Here is a 22,603-nt window from a genome sequence, read left to right on the forward strand (position 1 = left end):
GTCTATGGACAGAGAGCAAGCAGAAATGTCACATCACTTGTGAGGGTGCTGGTCCAGTGAGATGTCACAATCTTTCTTGTGGCCAGGACCCTGGAAGAAGAGGCATATCACCTGGAAGCTGGTTTCAGTGATATGTCAAAATTTCTTCTGTTGGGCAGGGCTTAAGAAGGTGAGGAGAATCACTTTACCTACATCTAGGCAATTGGCCTAGATATATGTCACAATGGCCACTAGGTGCAAAACCAAAGTATGAAAATGACCTCACCTTGGAGGTGGGTTTATCAATATGTCACAATCTCCCCTGTGGTCAGGGTGAGGTAGGAGAGTAGAAACATCACCTAAGTGCTAAGCCAAGTGATATGTTACAAAGCTTTCTGTTTGTAGAACCCAGAATGGAGTGTCACATTTTCTGAGTGTACTATCCAGTTATGTGTCACAATGCACCATAATTACAGGGCAAAGGCAGTGGAAGTGAGTCACGTCACTTACATGATGGACCTAGATAAAAGCCACAATGCTTTATATAGGCAGGAATCAAGCAAATAATACACATCTCCTGGCTGCTCATCCCAGTGATATGTAAAAGTGACATTTGTAGGCAGGCCCAGGCACCTTTGCTTAGGTTTTTGGTCCACATATGTCACAATTTCATCTCGGGTTATGGCCTAAAAAGGAGAGTCAAATTACTCAGGACCTGGGCTAACTTTTAAGTCCTAATCATACACCAGGAAATATTCTGAAGTAAGTTTCACAGCCCCACACAAGTCCTGGCTTTATGTATGAAAGTCAACACCTTCTGTGAGTTGGGTCGAAACAGAGGAGACACAATCTAAACAATGGGCATAATCCATGTAGAAGATGGCAATCCCACTTGATAACTGCATTCCAGGGGGAGAGTCCCAGCCTCACAGATGTGCTGAACCATGCAACCCCAAACCACCTGTGAGTCAGATCCACATATGAGAGGAACAATTTCAATCTTTTACTGCTCTTTTGGTGAGATTTAGTACTTTATTTGCAGGTTCTGTTCTTGTGAGAGAATGATAGTCGCGTCAGCTGGGTGTGAATCCAATAATCACAATAGCATTGGTTTGCTGTTCCCTGTTATAACACTCATTGTACTACTCACATTTTCTATGATACGCTGGGAGTGTCATAATACTGTGTGAACTTTATACCACTATGAGAACCATTACTTTGCTTGTGGCCATAAGAATGGCAATGAGAATCAAAATATCTCTCCTCTTTGGGTCCAGGTATGATAGTTGTATTATTGCATGGTATCTGAAGCTGGGTATATGACAAAATTTTACCTGCGGGCAGAAACAGAGCAGGAGAGTCTCATCACCTGGATGGTGAGCTCAGGATACATTATAATCTTAGAGAAACAGAGAAGACTCACATCACCTGGGTGCTGGACTCCGCAATATGTGATAATCCCTTGTTTTGGCAGACTCCAGAATAAAGAGGAGAGTTGCATTACCCAGTTTTTGCAGTCAGCGTTATGTCACAATTCTTTTAGTGGGCAGGACCTAGGCAGGAGAGAAGAATCACATTTCCTAGATGTTATCACCGATGATGTCACAATGTTCTTTGGTGAAAAAGCAGAAGCAAAATAGACAAATCACCCAAGAAATAGGCTCAGATATATGTGACAATATCCCTACTTGGCAGGATCAAGTAGTAAAAAGTCACATTATTGTGATTCTGACCCAACGATATGTCACAATGCACACATGGGAAACAAAGCAGTTTTTACACCTGGGTACTAGGCCCAATGATATGACAATATCTCCTCATCTTTTAGGGTGACACCTTTAACTGTTAACTCATATGTATGTAAGTCACATTGTCACGTGTGTGCTGGGCCATTGTATGACATCCTCTAGAACATCTGAGAGTTTTATACAACATGCGTGAGATTCACAAACTACTCTGAGGTCCACATGCTCATTTTGACTCTGAATATTATATATTGCCTTAAACCCAGATATGAGAGTCAGTATCTCTCATTTATGCTTAGTTCAGGAATGAGGCTTATTTTTATGCCTGTGAGCTGGGTCTAAAAATGAGTGATGGTTGCACCTGTGGCAAAATCCACAAATGAGAGTCACAATTCCATCTTTGTACTGTTTTACTTGTTAGACTCAGTATCTCAGCAATGGGCTTTCTTAATGAGGGGTGGTGACAAGTTTTACTTTCAATTGTGTGTGTAATTCAGAATCACAATCTTAACTTTTTGCTGGGCTTTGTTAGGAAACGCTGTACCACCCAAGGAGTTTATACAATATTAATTATTGTTCTGTGAGCTTTCCTCAAATACGCAACCCAGGATTTTACCTATTGCCCTAAGCCTTGCGATGAGAGGCAAAATATCTTCTATTTGCTGAATCACAATGTAAGTTTGACCATCATACCTGTAAACTGAAGCAAGGTATATTTTATAATCCCATTTGTGGGCAAAAAATTACCAAAAAGAGTAATGTCACTTAGGTGCTGTGGCACGCAGCATGTCACAGTGCTGTCTCTAGGCAGAATACAGAAAGCAGGGTCATGTTATCTGGATGCTGGACCTAGCAATATGACACAATTTTACTTGTTAAAAAAAGAAACTCAACCAAGGGATGAAAGCCAAAACACTTACAGATTTGGCTGAAGATATGTCAAAATGCCCTCTGTGGCTCTGGCACTGGTGGGACTGAAGCATCATTAGAGTGTTGGGCCTACCATTATGCAATCACTCCCTCATTATTCAGGACTGCAGCAGAAGAGTAACATCATCTGAGTGCAATAGGTGAAATTTTCCCTTTGTGGGCATGGTTCAGAAAAAAGGAAATAGTCACATAACCTAAATCCTGGTCTCAGAAATACATCACAATTTCAGCATTTTAAAGGCTGAGGCAAGGGAAGAGAGTCATATCACTTAGGTCATGGGCTTAGAAACATGTCCCAATGTCCCCAGTAGGCAGAAGTCAGGCAGAATTCAGGCAGAAGAGGAGAGTGGTGTCTCATTGGTGCTTCTTTAGGTGTATGTCTCAATCTAACACATGGGCAGAACCAGACAGAAGAGCCATATAACCTGGGTACTGGGTCCTAAGGTATGTTGCAAATCCCGATTAGTTCAGAACCAAGGTGAAAGAGTTACATCACCTTGGTTCAGGTTTCACTTTCATGTCACAATGCTCTATGTGTGTGAGGCCAAAGCATTTAGTCCCATAAACTAGTTTATTGGCCCAAGAGATAGGTCACAAAGTCCCCTGTGAAGCATAGTCTTGGCAAAAGAGTATCATCACCTGTGTGCCTGGCCTAGAAATATGTCATTCTCCAGGTTGTCAGGGCCCAAGCAGGAGAGCCGCTTAACCTAGGTAATAGGTGCAGAGATATGTCACAATGCCCTACTTTGGGCATGGCTGTGGCAAAAAGTACCCACAGCTGTATGCCTGGCTTCACAATATGTCACCATCCTTCCTTTGTGCAAGGCCCATTCCAGAGATCAGAGTTTCATCCCTATGAGGTGCACACACAAATATGTTCACAATAATTTTGGTTGGCGTGGCACAGGCAAGAATGTGAACATCACCTGGATGCTAGATCCAGTGATATGTACAATCCTTACTGAGAGAAGGGCCCAGGCAGGAGAGTCACATCTCCTTGAGGTTGGCCTAGGTAGATATCACAATCCCACATATGGGCTGGAACAAGTCTGGAGAGTCAAATTACACTGGTGCTTAGCAAAGATTTATATCACAATCACACTGTCAGAAAATTCCAAAGATGTGATTTACAATACCACACATGTCCTGTTTTCATGTGTGACAGTTGACTTCATCCATGAGAGATGATGACAGTCCTTACTGTCAGGCGGGTGTGCATACAAGACTCACAATTTCACCTGAGTTGAACCCTGCTTTGACTCTTTCTGTATAAACCAAAGACTCTGTAAAATGTGTGTGTTGTAATCTTTTGTGATGTTTGTACAAGAAAGTGATTCAGGACATCACGCATGTCCCTAAACTGAATTATAAGAGTAAAAATATTCTCTGTTGGATGAGTCCACATATAAGAGTCATTATTATTCCTGCAAGCCCTGCCTAGGTATTTGTTATAATTTGTTCTGTTGTTATGAATCAGGCCTAACAGCCACATCACCTAAATGCTGGGCCAGAAATATTCCAGTATTCTTTTTGCAGGAGGGGTCTTGTCCAAAATATCACATAACTTGTGTGCTAAATCCAACTCTGTTGCACAATGTTCATTTTGGGCTGTGTCTAGGCAGGAGAGGAGAGTCACAGGACCTAAAAGCTGGGCTCAAGCATGTGTCAAAATGCCTCTCAACAGGAGAGTTTCTCCAAAAAAAGAGAGCCATGTCATTTGAATGCAGTGTTTAGAAAAGGTACAATTACTATAGGAAGCAGGGTACAGGTCAAAGAGGAGAGTCATATACCCTAAATAATGGGTCCAGAAACATGTGACTATTTTGCCTGAGGACACTTTTTAGATAGCACAGTCAAATCACCAAGGTGCTTGATGAAGATATTTGTCAAAATCGCTTTTGTAGGCTATATCTAGGCAGAATTATTAAATCACTCAGGAACTGAAATACAATATATGTCACAATTACACTTGCGGAAAGGTTTAGGTATAAGACTCAACTGTGGGCTTTGTAAATGTGGGATGGTGGCAACTTTTAATTCCACCTGGGTGTGTAATCGAGAGTCCCAATTTGAACTTTTTGCTGGCCCCTGCTATAAAAATTTCTACCACAAAGGAGTTTATAAAATGTAAGTTAGTTGTGTAAGTTTCTGTGAGCTTGGTACAAATATGCAGCCCAGGACCTTATCTATTGCCCCAAGCCTAACAATGAAAGGCAAATATTTTCTATTGGCTGAATCCCAGTATAAGTTTGATCATCATGGCTGTGAGCTTAAACTGGGTATATGTTATAATGACATATGTGGGCAAAACACTACGCAGAAGGGTAACATCACTCAGATGCTGTGCCCAGCAATATGTCACAATGCCTTCTGTATGCAGGGTGTAGGAAATTGGGTCACGTTAACTGGGTGCTGGACCCAGAAATACGACACAATTTCACATGTGTAAGAAACCCAGCCCAGTTATGAGAGCCAAAACACCTACATAATGGGCATAATATATGTCAAAATACTTTCGGTATCAGCAGCACAGGCAGGAGCATCACATCTTAAGGGTGCTGGGCCCAGCAATATACAATATGCCATAATTATCTCTTTATGCAGATCCCATGCAGAAGAGTAACATGATCTGCATGCTGGGCAATAATATGTGTCAAATTTCTTTTTTGTAGGCATGGTTCAGGAGAAAGAGAAGAGAAACAGATCCTGAGTCCTGGGCTCAGCAATGTAACAAAATCCTCCTTTTATGAAGGCCCAGGAAGAAAAACAGAGTCACATCACTTAGGTCATGGGCTCAGAGACATGTCCTAATATTCCAACTAGGCAGAGCTCAGGCAGGTGAGGACAGCCGAGAGTCACATATCCTGAGTCCTGGGCTCAGCAATGTGACAAAATCCTCCTTTTATGAAGGCCCAGGAAGAAAAAGAGTCACATCACTTAGGTCATGGGCTCAGAGACATGTCCTAATACTCCAACTAGGCAGAGCTCAGGCAGGTGAGGACAGCCGAGAGTCACATATCCTGAGTCCTGGGCTCAGCAATGTGACAAAATCCTCCTTTTATGAAGGCCCAGGAAGGAAAAGAGAGTCACATCACTTAGGTCATGGGCTCAGAGATATGTCCTAATACTCCAACGAGGCAGAGCTCAGGCAGATGAGGACAGCCATATCACCTATGTGCTTCCATCAAAATATGTCACAATTTAACATGGGGGCAGAAACTATGCAGAAGAGCCACATCACTTGGGTGCTGGGTCCTGTGATATGTCACAAAGTGCTCTTAACACAGCACCTAGCCAAGAGAAATACATCATACTAGGTGAAGGGTCTCTGCTTATGACACAATGCTTCATCTGGTTAGGACCCAGGGAGAGAGTCACTTCATTTAGGTGATAGGCCCAGAGATATGTCACAATGTACTGTGTGAAGCATAGCCCTGGAAAAGGGTACCATCACCTGTGTGCCTGGCCTAGAAGCGTGTCACTTTCGAGGTTGGAAGGACCCTAGCAGGAGAGCCACATAATGTAGGTGATAGACCCAGAGATATGTCACATTGCCCTCCTCCAGGCATCCACAGGATAAGGAGGAACCTTGCCTGTGCGCCGGTCCTTGCGCTATGTCACTATCATTCTGTTGTGCAGTGCCCATTCCAGAGAGGAGACTCACATCAACTATGAGGTAAACACAGAAATATGTCACAATAATTTTGGTGGGCAGGGTGCAAGTAAGGATGTAACGTTACCTGGGAGCTAGGTCCAGTGATATGTCACAATCATTACTGAGAGATAGGACAAGGCAGGAAAGTCATGTCACCTCGAGGTTGGCCTAGGTAGATTTCATAACCCCACCTATGAGCTGGAACAAGTCCGGAGCCTCAGATTACACAAGTGCTTAGCAAAAATTTATATCATACTCACACTGTCAGAAAATTCCAAAGATGAGATTTACCATCTTACCACACATGCCCTGTTTCATGTGTGACAGTTACCTTTATCCATGTGAGATAATGAGTTCTTACTTTCAGCTGGGTGTGCAAACAAGACTCATGATTTCATCTGTGTGCTGAGCCCTGCTTTGACTTTGTGTGTATGACCCAAAGACTTTGTAAAATATGTATGAGTGTTGTAATATTTTGTGACCTTTGTACAAGAAGGAGATCCAGGACATCATGCATGTCCCTAAACTGAGTTATAAGATGCAAAATATCCTCTATTGGCTGAGTCCACACATGAGAGTCATTATCATGGCTGTGAGCCATGCATAGGTATATGTTACAATTCACTCTGTGGTTAAGAAGGAGGCCTGACAGCCATATCACATAAATGCTGGGTCAGAAATATTCCAATATTCTTTTTGTAGTCAGAGCCCTCTCAGAAATATCACATAACTTATGTGCTATGTCCAGCTCTATGGCTCAATATCCCTTGTGGACAGTGTCTAGGCAGGAGAGGAGAGTAATATCACCTAAATGATGGGCCCAAAATTTTGTCACAATTCTTCCTGTTGACAGGTCCCAGGCAAGAGTGTCATATCATTTGGATGCAGGGATTATAAATACTACAATCCACCAAAGAAGCAGGGTACAGGCAGGAGAGAAGAGTCACGTAACCTAGATGAAGGGCACAGAAATATGTTACAAGAGCCCCTGAGGACATTTCAAGATACATCAGCCAGATCACCAAGGTGCTTGACCAATGTATCTGTCAAAATCTCATTTGCTATACCTAGGCAGAATTATTAAATCACTCAGGAGTTGAGCAAAGGTATATGTCACAATCAGACTTGTGGAAAGGCTTAAGTCTAAGAGTCACCATCCTGCACAAGTCGTATGCTCTAGTCATATGAGTTGTTACTAGGCTTTTGTTTTGGTCTCTGGTACATGGCAGAATATCACCTGTGGCCAGAGAGAACACAAGAAAGTCCCATCACCTATGTGGGTCTGGGCCACTAAGACATCACTATTCACCTTGTGGGTAGGAACCTGGTGGAAGAGCCACAGCACCTGGATTTCAGTGACATATCAAAAGCCTCTCTTCTGGGCAGGGCTTTGGCAAGAGAGGAGACTCACTTCACAAAGGCAGTTGGCCTAGATGTTTGCCACAATGTCTATTCCGTGCAGTAACCAAACTGTAGAGTGGCCTCACATAGGTGTTTGTCCCAGGAAATATGTCACAATCTGCCTGTGGTCTGGGCCAAGGCGAAAGTGAAGAAACATCACCTAGGTACTGAGCCAAGTGATATGTTCAATGCTTCCTGTTGGCAGAACCCAAAAAGAAGAATCACATCACTTGAATGCAGTACCCAGTTCTTTGTCACAATGCCCTGTAAGTGCATGGCCAAGGAAGTAGAAGAGAGTCACATCACTTACAGGATGGACCTAGATATATAACAAAATTCCTTTTGTAGAAAGGTTTCAGGCAGATAACTCACATCATCTGGGTGATGGTCCCAGTGACATATGTAAAATTTCCCTTTGAAGGCAGAGCCACGATGGATGTTATCTATTGCTTAGCTGCTTGTTCCACATATGGCACAATTACTTCTGTGATCTGGGCCTAGAAAATGAGTCAAATTATTCATTTGCTGGACAAAGTGACCTATCCCAATATGACACTCTCATATATGTTCGGAAATAAGTTTCACATCCCACACAAGTCCTGGTTTTGTGTATGTGAGTCAATTCTTTCTGTAAGTTGGATCAAAATGGAGGAGTCAAAATCTCAACAATGGGCAAGATTCATGTATAAGAGCCGCAATCCCCCTTGAACATTGTGGTCCAGGAGGGGAGTCACGGCACCACAGGTGTGCTGAATCCTGGTTCAAATGTTAACAAACCACCTGTGGATCAGGTCCATGTAGGTGAGTAATTATTTCAAACATCGACTGCTTTTTATGTGTGAGATTTAGTCCCTCATTCCTAGACCCTGTTAATATGCGAGAATGACAATCATTTCAGTGAAGTGTGCATACAAGAGTCATATTCTTACCTGGTTGCTGGTCTCTGTTATGACACTCTTTGCACCATTAATGCTTTATATGATATACCTGAGTATTATAATCCTTCGTGACTTTTATACAAGTGAAAAACACAGGGCTTTACCCATGGCCGTGAGACTGGCTATGAGAGTCAAAATATTCCTACAGGCTGGGCCCAGGTATGAGAGTTATTTTTGTCCATGCGTGCTTAACCCAGGTACGTGTCAAAATTTCACCTGTAAGCAGAGACAAGGAAAGGGAGTCAACTCACCTCGACACTGAGCCAGTGATACAGCATAATCTCATTTGTATGCTGGGCCTAGTCAGAAGAGTCACTTCACCCGGGTACAGTTTCACATAATATGTCAGCAAGCCCACTATGGACAGGGAAGAAAAAAGAGAGGACAGTCAGTCCACCTATGTGCTGGACTCCGCAATATGTAACAACCCTCTCTCTTGGTAGAGTCTAGAATATGAAGGAGAGTCACATCATGTAGGTTTTTCAATCAGCGGTATGTCACAATTTGTTTGCTGAGCAAGGCTCAGGCAGGAGGTGAGAGTCACATTACCTAGATGTTAAGCCAAACAATATTTCACAATGTCTTCTGGGTGCAGGACACTGTCAGAAGAGACAAATCCTCTAGCTTATAGACCCATAGATATGTGATAATATCCCCTTTTGGCAGGGTCCAGACAGAAGAGACACATTATGATTCTAACACAGTGATATGTTACAATCCACCCAAGGAAAGGAATTTAAGCCAAATAGTCTCAACACCTAAGCACTATGCCTATTAATAGGCCAAATCCCCTTGTCTTTGAGAGTGACATTATAAACTCTGAGCTGGGTGTGTATATGAGAGTAACAATTTCACTAGTATCCTGGGCCGTTGCATGACTCTCAACAATTTTCAAAAGCTTTATACATCACGCATGAGAGTTTCAAACCACTCTAAGGCCTACATATTCACATGGATTCATGACCTTACATATTCCCCTAAACCCAGGTATAATAGTCAGCATCTCCTCTATAGGCTGGGTTAGAAATGAGACTCATTTTTATGCCTGTGAGCTGGATCTAGAAATAAGTCACAATCCCACCTGTGGCCAGATCCACATACGAAAGTCACAATTCCAACTTTGCACTGCATTCATTTGTAAAACTCAGGTTCTTAACAATGGCCTTTGGACATGTAGAATGATGACAGCACTTGCTTTTACCTGGGTGTGTAATCAAGAATCTCAAACTGAACTCTTCACTGGTCCCTATCACCAAACTCTCTATACCAACAAAGAAGTTCATACATTATGAGTTAGTGTTGTAAAGCTCTGTGAGCTTGGTACAAATATGCAACCCAGACTTTATGTATTGCCCAAAGCCTAGCAATGAAAGGTAAAATATCTCCTATTGGCTGAATCTCAGTATAAATTTGACCATCATGCCTGTGAACTGAAGTCATAGTCCCATTTGTGAGCAAAAAAAGTAGGCCCGAGGGTAACATCACTTAGGTGTTGTGCCAAGCAACATGCCACAGTGCCCTCTCTAGGTAACATAGAGGAATTAGAGTCATGTTAACTGAGTTCTGGACTCAGCAATATGAAACAATCCATTATGTGGAAACAAACAAAAACAAAAGTGAAAAAAAAAAAAAAAAAAACAGCAAAAAGATAAGAGCCAAAACACCTACATAATGGGCCCAGGATCTGTGAAAATACCTTCTCTGCCTCCAGCAAAGTCATGAGTTTTATATTTTCAGGATGCTGGGCCCAGCAGTATGTTATAATATTCTCTACATACAGGACCCACGTAAAGGCGTAACATTATCTGGGTGCTGGGCCCTGCAATAGGCCAAAATTTCTGTTAGTGGGCATGATTTGAGATTAAAAAAAAAAAAGGTGAATCAAATAACCTGATTGCTAGGTTGAGCAATATTTCACAATCTCTCCATTGTAAAGACCCAGCAGAAAAAGAGAGTCACTTCCCTTAGTTCATGGGCTCAGAGATATAGTCCAGTGTACCCAGTGAACAGGGCCCAGGCAGAAAGGGAGACTCATATCACCTAAATGTTTCCCTAGTTATATGCCAAAAACCTTACCCACGGGCAGAAACCAGGCAGAAGAGCCACATCACCTGGGTACAACTGCAAGTAATATGTCACCATCCCCAGCATAGATAGGTTTCTTATAAAATTAGATAATGACACCACGTGGGTGCTCTGCTCACCAATATGTAACAATTCCCTCTCTTGACAGAGTCCAGGAAAAAAAGGGGACTTCTGTCACCTAGGCTCTGCACTCAATGGTATATGACAATTTTTTCAGTGAGGAGGATCCAGGCAGTAAAGATGGGTCAAATTTCCTAGATTCTAAATCCAGCAATATGTCAGTGTCTCCTCTGGGCAAAGTACTGGCAGGAGAGACATATTACATAGCCAATAGGCCTGGAGATATGGGAAAATATCCTCTGTTTGCAGGGCCCTGGAAGAAGAGTCACATTATTTTGATTCTGACCCAGTGATATGTAACAATGCCCTAATGGAATGAAATTTAAACTAAAAGTTCTCAACACCAGCTAGTAGGGCAAGATATATGACAAAATCTCCTCATCTTTAAGGGTGACACCATTAAATGTTAGCTATCTGTGTATAAGAGAGTCACAATCTCATGTGTGTGCTTGCCATTGTATGACACTCTCTATAATACCTGAGAACGTTATGCAACATGCATGAGAGTTGCAATCCTCTCTGAGGCCTACAGGCATTTACAGAATTATGATTATGCATATTGCCCTAAACCCAGGTATGACAGTCAGCATCTCTCCTATAGACTGGTGTTAGGGATGAGATCATTATTATGACTGAGAGTTGGCTCCAAAAATGAGTCACCATCCCACCTGCGGCCATATTCATTTATGAAAGTCACAACTCCATCTTTGTGGTGTATTTGCTTAGACTCAGGATCTCAACAATGGGCTTTGTAGATGTAGGATGGTAAAAACTTACTTTCATCTGAGTGTGCAGTCAAGAATCATAATCTTAACTGTTTGCTGGGCACTGTTAAGAAACCCTTTGTATCACCCAGGAAATTTTTATTACATGAGTTAGTGTTGTAAACTACTGTGAGCTTTGTAGAAATGTGCAATGAGTAACCTGACTCTTTGACCTAAACCTGGTGGTGAGAGGAAAAATCTCTCCTATTGGCTGAATCCCAACATAAGCTTGATCATCATACCTTTGGACTGAAGCAAGGTATTTCTCACATTCCCATTTTTTAGCAACCTATGCAGAATATTAACATCACTTAGGTTCTTTGTCAAGCAATATGTCATGATGCCCTCTGTAAGCAGCACCTAGGAAAGAGGGCCACATTAACTGCAGGCTGGAGTCAGCAATATAATACAACCACACGTGGAAGAAATTCAGCAAAGTGGTAAGAGTGAAAACACCTAGAAAATGGGCCAAAGATATGTCGAAATACCTTCTGCGGTCCTGGCACAAGCAGGAGAGTCACATCATTAGGGTTCTAGGCCAAGAAATATGCCACAATTTTCTCTTTATGCACAACCTAGGCAGAAGAGCAGCTTCATCTGGGTACTGGGCCCTGAAATACGGCAAAAGATCTGTTCCTGGGCGTTGTTCAGTTACAAGATGAGAGTCACATTACCTAAATGCTGAGCTCATCAATATCTCATAATCTTACCATTGTAAAGCCCTAGACAAAAATAGAGTCACATCACTTAGGTCACAGGCTTAGAAATATGGCCCAATATCACCAGTAGGCTGGGTTCAGACAGAAGAAGAGTCATATTACCTAGATGCTTCTTTAGCTATATGTCACAATTTAATATGTGGGTGAAAACCAGGTTGAAGAGCCACATCATGTGGTCCTGGGTACTGAGGTATTCACAAGTCCCTCTTAGAAAAGGACCCAGGCAAGAGAGTTATGTCACCTAGGTGCAGATTCCACGCTTATGTCTCAATACTTCATGTGGGCAGGACCAAGCAGGAAGTCACATCACCTTGGTGATAGGACCAGGTATATATGACAAGGCATTTTTGAAAGCATGGCCCTGGCAAAAGAGTTCCATCACCATTGTGCCTGGCCTAGCAGTATGTCACTATTCAATTGGGCAAGTTTCAAGCAGAAGAGCCGTATCACCTACACGATAGGTCCTGTGATATGTCAAATGCCCTTTTTTGGGCATAGCCCTGGGAAAAGAGCATCATCACCTGTGTGCCTGGCCTAGAAACAGGTCACTATTTTGCCCAGTGTTCAAGGCCCTTTCCAGAGAGGAGAGTGACATCTTCTAACTGATGGACACTGCAATATGTCACAATGATATCTGCGAGCATGGCGCAAGCAAGAATGTAACGTCACCTGTGTGCTGGATCCAATGATGTTATAATTCTGAGTGGAGGGCCCAGGCAAAAGAGTCACGTCACTTCAAGGTTGGCTTAGGTAGATACCAAAATCCCATAGGTAGGCTGGAACCAATCTGAAGGGTGAACTCACACAGGCACTTGGCAAAGATTTATATCAGTCATGATGGAATAAAATTCTAGGGATTAGATTTACAATATCAGGCGTGTTCTATTTTTATGTGGGACAATTGCCTTCATCATCTGTAATGGTGAAAGCCGTTACTGTCAGCTGAATGTACATATGAGAATCCCAATTTTCTCCATGTGCTAGGCCCTGTTATGACTCTCTCTATACGACACAAGGATGTTATAAAATATGTGTGAATGTTGTAATCTTCTGTGACCTTTTTACCAGAAGGAGATGCTGGATATCACTTATCTCCCTAAGCCTAGTTATAAGAGTCAAAATGTTTCCTATTGGCTGGGTTCACATATGAGAGTCCTTATCATGTATTTTAGATGTGTCTACAGATACGGCGCCATCTCATCTGTGGTAATTAAACAGGCAGAAAACGACATCACCTAAATCCTAAGCCAGAAATACCCCAACTTTATTTTGTAGAGAGGGCCCTAACAGAAATATGACAAAACTTAGGTGCTAGACTCAGCTCTATGGCATAATGCCCTTTGTGGAGTGTGTCCAGGCAGTAGAGGAGAGTCATATCACCTAAATGAAGGGCCCAGAGAGATATCACAAAGCCCCCCCTTTAAAAAGCCCAGACAAGAGACTCATGTCATTTGGGTGCAGTGCTTAGAAATGCTACTCTTCACTGGAAGCAGGGTTCATGCAGAAGAGGAGAGTCATGTAACCTAGACAATGGCTCCAGAGATATGTTATGATCACTTCCGAGAACCTGTTAGGACACAAGAGTAAAATCATAAAGGTTCCTGGGAAAGGTGTAGGTCCAAATGTCATCTGCGGGCTATAACAAGGCAGGATTATTAAATCACTCAGGAGCTGGGTAAAGGTGTATGTCACAATAGTACCTGTGAAAATCTGGGGCAGGGATGAGAGTAATGATCCTGTCCTGCACGTGTCCTGGCTCTGGGGACAAGCGTCATCATTAGGCTTTTTATCTGGTCTCAGGTAAATGGAACAATATCACCTGTGGGCAGAGAGAAAAAGGAAAGTTCCATCACCTTAGTGGATGCTGGTCCAGTGAAATGTCTCAATTGTCCTTGTGGCTAGGACTCTGATAGAAGAGTCACATCATCCGGATGCTGGTTTCAGTGACATATAAGATCCCCCCTGTGAGCAGAACTTAGGCAGGAGAGAAGACAAACTTCACTTAGGCAATTGGCCTGAATATACGTCACAATGGCCCCTATGTGTAGGATCAAGGCAGGGGAGTAACCCTCGCTTTGGTGCTAGGTTCAGCAACATGTCACAATCTCTCTGGCGGTCAGGGCACAGGCAAGAGAAAAGAAATATCACCTAGTCGCTGAGCCAAGTAATACGTTACAAAGCTTCCTACTGGCAGAAACTTCATTCTCCAAAAAAGTCACATCACCTGGGTGCAGTACCTAGTTACGTGTCACAATCCACCACCAGAAGTGCAGGGCCAAGACAGTAGAAGGAAGTCATGTCACTTAAGTAATCAACTTATATAAAAACCACAGTGCTCTCTGTAGGCAGGCCTCAGGCCAAGATTTCACATCAGCCAAGTGCTGATCTCAGTGATATGTAAAAGTGCCCTATGTTTCATTACCAAAAAAGATGTTACTTATTGCTTAGGTGCTTGGTGCATGTAAGTCACAATTTCAACTGTGCTCTGGGCCTAGAAAGGAGAGTCAAAACACTCAGATTCTGTGCAAAGTTATACTTCTCAGTTACACACTCAAAAATGTTCAGAAATAAGTTTCACAGTCCCACACAAGTCCTGGATTTGGGTATGAGAGTCAACACCTCCTATAAGTTGGGTTGAAGTACAGGTGTCACAATCTCAAAAATAGGAAAGATCCACATAGAAGAGTCTCAATCCCACTTGAAGATTGTGTTCCAGTAGGAAAGTCAAAGTACCACAGTTTGACTAAATCATAGTTCAAACATCACCAAATCACCTATGGATCAGATTCGTGTATGAGAGTAACAATTTCAAGCTTCAACTGCTTATGTGTGTGAGATTTACTACCTCATTTGTAGGCTCTGTACATGTGTGAAGATGAAAATCATGTCAGTTGTCTATGCATCCAAGAGTCACAATGGAACCTGGTTGCAGGTACCTGTTATGAAACTCTTTGTAACATTCAGGCTTTATATGATATGCCTGAGTAGTATAATTTCCCGTAAATTATTACAGGTGGGAGATCTAGGACTTTACCCATGGCCTTAAGACTGCCTGTGAAAGTCAAATATCTCCCACTGGCTAGGTCTAGGTATGAGAGTTATTATTGTGCTGAATCCAGTTATTATATGAGCTGAATCCAGGTATACATCACAATTTCACCTTTGGACAGAGACAAGAGAGAAGAGTTACATTATCTGGTTGCTGAGCAAGGGATACGTTATAATTTCCTTTTTAGTCAGGACCCAGTCAGAACAGTCATATCACCTGGATACAGTCTCAGATAATATTATCATGACCACTAAACCCTGGATTGAAAAATAGAGGATTGTCACGCCCCTAGGTGATGGGCTCAGCAATATTTTATTATTTCCTCATTAGCAGAGTTCAAGACAAAGCTCACTGGCAGAGTCCAAGACAAAGAAGAGAGTCACATCACCTAGGTTTTGCACTCAGTGGTATGTCAAAATTTCTTCAGTGGCCAGAATCCAGGCAGGAGTGGAGAGTCACATTACCTAGATACTATAGTGATATGTCCCAGTGTCCACTGTGGCAGGGCACTGGCATGAGAGACACCACATCACCTAGCTGATAGGCCCAGAGATACGTGATAATATCCCCTGTTGGCTGGGTCCAAGAAGAAGTTTCACATTATTAGGATTCTGACCCAGTGATAATTCACAATGCACCTATGGGCAAAATTTAAGCCCTAATTCTCAACACTTGGTTACCAGGCCTAGTGATAAGACACACTCTCCTCATCTTTTAGGGTGACACCTTTAACTTTCAGCTAAGGTTGAATATTAGAATCACAATCTCACATGTATGCTGGGCCAATGTATGACACTCTTTACATCCGAGGGCTTTATAAAACCTGCATGAGAGTTGTAAACCTCTCAGCGACCTGCATGCTCATATGGGTTCACAATTTTACACATTGCCCTCAATTCAGATTTGATAGTCAGCATCTCTTTTATATGTAGGGTTAAAGGAGAAGACCCATTATTATCCCACCTCCAGACAGATCCACATATAAATTCACAATTGCAACTTTGTGCCGTATTCCACAGTGGGCATTGTATATGTAGGATGGTGACAACTTTTAATTTTACTGGGGTGTATAATCAGTACTCCAAATCTGAACTTTCTACTGGGCCCTGTTATGAAAGTTTTTACCACCAATGAGTTTATACAATATAAGTTAGTGTTGTAATCTTTGGACTTTGTACAAATATGCAACTCTCTGTGTACAAATATTACTCTCTGTGGTTATGAAGCAGGCAGAACAATCACATCACCTAAATTCTTGGCCAGAAATATTCCAATATTCTCTTTGTAGGCAGGATCCTGTAGAAATGCCACATAAATTGTGTGCTAGATCCAGCTTGGTGGCACAGTGTCCCTTATTGGCAGTGTCCAAGCAGGAGAGGAGAGCTGCCATATCAGGTAAATGATGGAACCCAAAATATGTCACTATGCCTCCTCTTGACAGGGCCCAGGCAAGAGAGTCATATCATTTGGATACAGTGTTTAGAAATGATACAGTTACCAAAGAAAATCATGTACAGGTGGGAGAGAACAGTCATGTAACCTATGTGATGGGCCAGAAATACGTTACAGTCACGCCTGTGGATATTATTAAGATAACACAGTCAAATCATGAAGATGCTTATACCAAGGATTTGTCAAAATCTCATTTTGATGCTATACCTATGCAGAATTATTAAATCACTAAGGAGCTGGGTAAAGGTATATGTCACAGTTACACTTGTGTATCGCTTTAAGACTAAGAGTCACCATGCTGCACATGTCCTGGCTCCAGATATATGTGTTGTTATTAGGCTTTTATTTATGGTCTCTTGTATAAGGCACAATATCGGCAGTGGCCAGAGAGAAGAGAAGAAAATCTCATCAGCTACATGGGTGTGGATTCAGTGAGAAGTCACAGTCTACCTTGTGGACAGGACCCTGGCAGAAGAGTCAAATCACCTGGATGCTGGTGTCAGTGAAATATCAAAACCTCTTCTCTGGGCAGGATTTTTGCTAGAGAGGACACTCACTTCACTTGGGCAATTGGCCTAGCTATTTGTCACAATGCTTCTTATGTGCATTACCAAGGCTGGAGAGTGACCTCACAAGGGTGCTGGACCCAGAAATATGTCACAATCTCCCTGTGGTCAGGGCGAGGACAATGCGAGGAAACATCACCTACATTCTGAGCTAAGTGATATGTTACCATGTTCCAGTTGGCAGAACGCAAAAAGGACAATGATCTCCTGGACACAGTTTCTGCTTATGTGTCAAAATGCACTGTAAGGGCAGGGCCAAGGCAGTAGAAGGGAGTCACTTCAATTCATGGTGGATGTAGATATAAAACACAATTCCTCTTGTAGGCAGGTTTTAGGCAGATAATTCACATCACCTGGGTGATGGTCCCAGTGATATATGAAAGTGCCCTTTGCAGACAAGGCCAAAGAAGGTATTACATATTTCTTAGGTGCTTGTTCAACATAGGGCACTATTTCATCCGAGTTCTGGGCCTAGAAAAGAGAGTCAGATTATTCATGTGCTGGACATGGTTACCTGTCCAAATCACACTCTCAGATATGCTTGGAAATAAGTTTCACATGCCACACAACACCTAGTTTCCTGTACCTGAGCCAACTCTTTCTATGAGGTAGATCTTAGTAGAGGAGTCACAATCTCAACAATGGTCAAGATTCATGTATAGGAGCCCCAATCCCCCTTGAAGACTGTGTTCCAGTAGGGAAGACACAACACCACAGGTGTGCTGAATCATGGTTCAAACTTTACCAAACCACCTGTGAATCAGATCTATGTGTAAGAGTAATTATTTAAACATTTGACTGTTTTTTTATGTGTGAGATTAGTATCTCATTCCTACGCCCTGTTCATGTGTGAGAATGACAATCATGTCAGCTGGGTGTGCATTTAAAAGTCCCATTCTCACTTCATTTCTGGCCTCTCTTATGACACTCATTGTACAATTAAGGCTGTATATGATATACCCGAGTGTTATAATCCTTTGTGAACTTTATACAGTTGAAAAACTCAGGACATAACCCATTGTCGTGAGACTGCCTATGAGAGTCAATTATCTCTACTGGCTGGGTCCAGGTATGAGAGTTATTATTCTGCATGTGTGCTTAACCCAGATATATGTCAAAACTTGGCCTGTGAGCAGGGACAAGAAAGGAAAGTCACATTACCTGGGTGTTGAGCCAATTATACAGTGTAGTATTATTTGAAGGCTGGGCATAGTCAGAAGTGTCAGCTTTATGCTGGTCCAGTGATACAATATAATCTTGGTGATGTGACAGCCTCAAAGATTATGTCACCAAGCACACTATTGCCAGGAAAAAAAGAAAAAGAGGAGTGTCACTCTACTCTACCTCAGTGCTGGGCTTTGCAAACTGTAATAATCTGCTGGCTTGGAAGAGTCTAGAATATGAAGGAAAGCCACATCACATAGATTTTGCAATCAGTGCTATGTCACAACTTCTTTGGTGAGCCACACCCAGGCAGGAGAGTAGAATCACGTGACCCAGATGTTAAGTTAATATTTTCCAATGCCTTCTGGGGGCAGGGAACATGCAGGAGAGAAAAATTCCCCTACTTATAGGTCCAGAGATATGTGATAATATCCCCTGTTGGCAGGGTCCAGACAGAAGAGTCACATTACAATGATATGAACCCAGTGATACGTCACAGTGCACCTGTGGGAAAGAATTTATGCCAAAATGTCTCAACAGGTGGGTACATGGCCTAGTAATATACCAAATTTTGTTGCCTTTGAGGGTGACACCATTAACTGTGAACTGACTGTCTACATGAATATAACAATTTCATGTGTTTCCTGGGCTGTTGATTGACACTCTGTGACATTTGAAGGCTTTATACAGCATGCGTGAGAGTTGCAAACCACTCTGAGGCCTACATGTTTGTATGGATTCATGATCTTACATATTACCCTAAACTCAGGTATAATAGTCAACATCTCTTCTGCAGTTTGGGTTCAGGGATGAGACAGTTTATTATGCCTGTAAGCTGGATCCAGAAATGAGTCACCATCCCACCCGTGGCCAGATCCACATATGAAGGTCACAATTCTGATGTTGTACTGTATTCACTTGTTAGACTCAAGACCTTAACAGTGAGGTTTGGACATATGGAATAGTGACAACGTTTGCTTTTACTTGGTTGTGTAATCGAGAGTCCCAATCTGAATTTTTGCTACTCCCTGTCATGAAACTCTCTGTACTCCACACATTTATACATTATGAGTTAGTGTTGTAAAGGTCTTTGAGTTTGGTACAAATATGCAACCCACAACCTCACCTATTTCCCTTGTTCTAGTGATAAAAGGCAAAATATCTCCTTTGGCTGATTCCCAGTGTAATTTAGACCATCATGCCTGTGAACTGAAGTAAGGTATATGTCATAATCCTATTTGTGGGCCAAAACTAGGCAGGGGTGTAACATCACTGTGCTGTGCCAAGCATCATGCCACAATGCCATCTCTAGGCAGCGTATAGGAATTAAGTCATATTAACTGGGTACTGGACACAGCAATATGACACAATCCCATATGTAGAAAAAGAACAGGCAAAAAATCAGAGCCAAGACATCTACAGAATAAGCTCAGTATATGTCAAAATGCCTTCTGTAGCTGCAGGAAAGCATGACAGTCACATTTTTAGTGTGCTATTATTATATATTAGTATATGCCATAATTCTCCGTGTACGCAAAATCCAGGCAAAAGAGTAACATTATATGTGTGCTGAGCCCTGCAATAGGTCAACATTTCTGTTTGTTTGCATGGTTCAAGAGAAATAGCTGTCAATAAATCTGAGTGCTGGGCTCAGCAATATGTCACAATGCCGTCACTGCAAAGACCAGACTGAAGAAGAGAGTCACTTCACTTAGGTCTTGGGCTCAGAGATAGATCCCACTGTCCCAGTAGGGCAGGGCATGGGCTGAAAAGGAGAGTCATATACCTAGGTGCTTTCCTAGTTGTATGTCACAATCTAACATGTGAGCAGAAATCAGGCTGAAGAGCCACATCACCTGGGTAGACCCTCAGGTAATATGTCACCATGCCCAATGTAGACAGATTTGATGAAAAATAAAAGTAAAAAAAGAATCACAACACCTGGGTGCTGGGCTCAGCAATATGTAGAAATTCCCTGTCTTGGCAGAGTCCAGGACAAATAGGAGAGTCATGTCACCTAGGTTTTGCACTCAGTTGTATGTCACAATTTATTTGGTGGACAGGTTCCAGGCAGGAGTATTACCTAGATGCTGTATCTAGTGATATATCACAATGTCCCCTGTGGGCAATGCACTAGCAGGAGAGACATATCACCTGGCCAATAGGCTTGGGGGTGTGTGAAAATATCCCCTGTTTTCAAGGCCATTATCATTATTCTGACCCAGTGATATGTGACAATGCCCTTTTGGAAAGGAATTTAAACAAAAATGTCTCAACACTGGGGTATGACGCCAAGTGATATGACACAATCTCTTCACCTTTAACGGTGACACAATTAATGGTTAGCTAGTTGTTTATATGACAGTCACAATCTCATGTGTGTGCTGACCCTTGTATGACATTCTCTGCAATATCTGAGAACACTATACAACATGCCTGAGAGTTGAAAACCTCTCTGAGGCCCACATGCTTATATGAACTCATGATCTTACATATTGCCCTAAACCAAGGTATGACTCTCAACATCTCTTCTCTAGGCTGGCTTCAGAGATGAGACTGTTTTTAAGCCTGTGACCTGGGACCAGATATGTATGAGTCACCATCCCACCCGTGACAAGATTAGCTTTTGAAAATCACAACTCCAACTTGGTCCTGTATTCACTTGTTAGACTCAGGACCTTAACAATGAGATTTGTAAATGTGAGAAGATAACAACTTTTACTTGCATTTGAATGTGTAGTGGAGATTCACAATCTCAATTTTTTGTTGGGATCCGTCATAAATATCTCTGTACCACCCAGGAAGGTTTTATGATATGAATCAGTGTTGTAAGTTTCTCTGAGCTCTGTATAAATATGCAATGAAGGGACTAACTTATTGATGTAAACCTAGCAATGCAAGGCAAAATATCTCCTGTTGGCTGAATCCCGATATAAGCTTGATCATCATGTTTTTGAACTGAATCAAGGTATCTGTCATAACCCCATTTGTGGGCAAAATCTAGGCAGAAGGTTAACATCACTTAGGTGCTGTTCCAAGCAATATGTCACAATACTCTACCTAGGCAGGGCCTAGGAAAGAGGGTCACATTAACTGGGGGCTGGAACCAGCAATATGCTACAACAACACGTGGAAGAATACCAGCAAAGTTATGAGAGCCAAAACACGTACAGAAAGGGAACAAGATATATCAAAATACCTTCTGTGGCTCTGGCACAAGCAGGAGAGTCATATCATTACGGGACTGGGCCAAGCAATATGCCCTAATTCCCTCTTTACGCATGACCTAGGCAGAAGAGTAACATCATCCAGGTGTTGGGCCCTGAAATACAGCAAAAGTCTTGTTTGTGGGGGTTGTTCAGCAACCAGACAAGACTTACGTTACCTAAGTGCTGGGCTCATTAACATTTCACAGTCTTCTTATTGTCAAAGCGCAGACAGAATAAGAGAGTCACATCATATAGGTTATGTGCTCAGAGATATGGCCGAATGTCACCAGTAGGCAGGGATCAGGCAGAAAAAGAGAATCATATCACCTAGGTGCTTCTTTAGGTATATGTCACACTTTAATATGTGGGAAAAAACAAGGCTGAATACCATATCACATGGTCCTGGGTCCTGAGATATTCACAAGCCCCCCTTAGAAAAGGACCCAGTCAAGAGAGTTACATCACCTAAGTGCAGGTTCCACACATATGTCACAATGCTCCATGTGGGCAGGGTCAAGCAGGAAGTCACATCACCTAGGTGATAGGCATAGAGATATGTCACAAAGCTTTTCTTTTCTTTCTTCCTTTTTTCTTTTTTTTTTGAGATGGAGCCTCGCTCTGTTGCCCAGACTGGAGTGCAGTGGCACGATCTCGGCTCACTGCAAGCTCCGACTCCTGGGTTCACGCCATTCTCCCACCTCAGCCTCCCAAGTAGCTGGGACTTCAGGCACCTGCCATGGCACCTGCCTTATTTTTTTGTATTTTTAGTAGAAATGGGGTTTCACCGTGTTAGCCAGGATGGTCTCGATCTCCTCACCTCGTGATCC

The 22,603-nt window shown here is 42.4% G+C and overlaps 1 protein-coding gene across 1 annotated transcript; it reads right to left on the minus strand.

The window, feature by feature from the left end:
- Positions 1-991: 991 nt before the first annotated feature.
- BPY2C (basic charge Y-linked 2C) lies at positions 992-22,195 on the minus strand. Its single transcript, NM_001002761.1, has 9 exons — positions 22,165-22,195; positions 21,767-21,889; positions 18,565-18,701; positions 14,037-14,155; positions 11,860-11,977; positions 8,900-9,005; positions 8,083-8,207; positions 1,408-1,532; positions 992-1,313 (listed from the first exon to the last, which is right to left on the minus strand). Exons 4-7 carry the CDS (start codon positions 14,112-14,114, stop codon positions 8,189-8,191), a joined length of 321 nt encoding a protein of 106 aa, NP_001002761.1. The 5' UTR covers positions 14,115-14,155; positions 18,565-18,701; positions 21,767-21,889; positions 22,165-22,195; the 3' UTR covers positions 992-1,313; positions 1,408-1,532; positions 8,083-8,188.
- Positions 22,196-22,603: the final 408 nt, after the last annotated feature.

Source organism: Homo sapiens, chromosome Y (genome assembly GCF_000001405.40).
Source record: "Homo sapiens chromosome Y, GRCh38.p14 Primary Assembly".
NCBI lineage: Eukaryota > Metazoa > Chordata > Mammalia > Primates > Hominidae > Homo > Homo sapiens.

Bases quoted from the DNA above. Each gene is read 5' to 3' on its own strand.
- BPY2C (NM_001002761.1), bottom strand. From the start codon at position 14,114: ATGATGACGCTTGTCCCCAGAGCCAGGACACGTGCAGGACAGGATCAT. The intron at 11,978-14,036 runs GTACTATTGTGA...CCTCTTTCCTAG, and splicing joins CCTGCCCCAGATTTTCACAG to GTGCTGCTTACAGAGGGCAT. The intron at 9,006-11,859 runs GTATGATGATCA...CCCTGTCCATAG, and splicing joins TACCTTGCTTCAGTCCAAAG to TGGGCTTGCTGACATATTAT.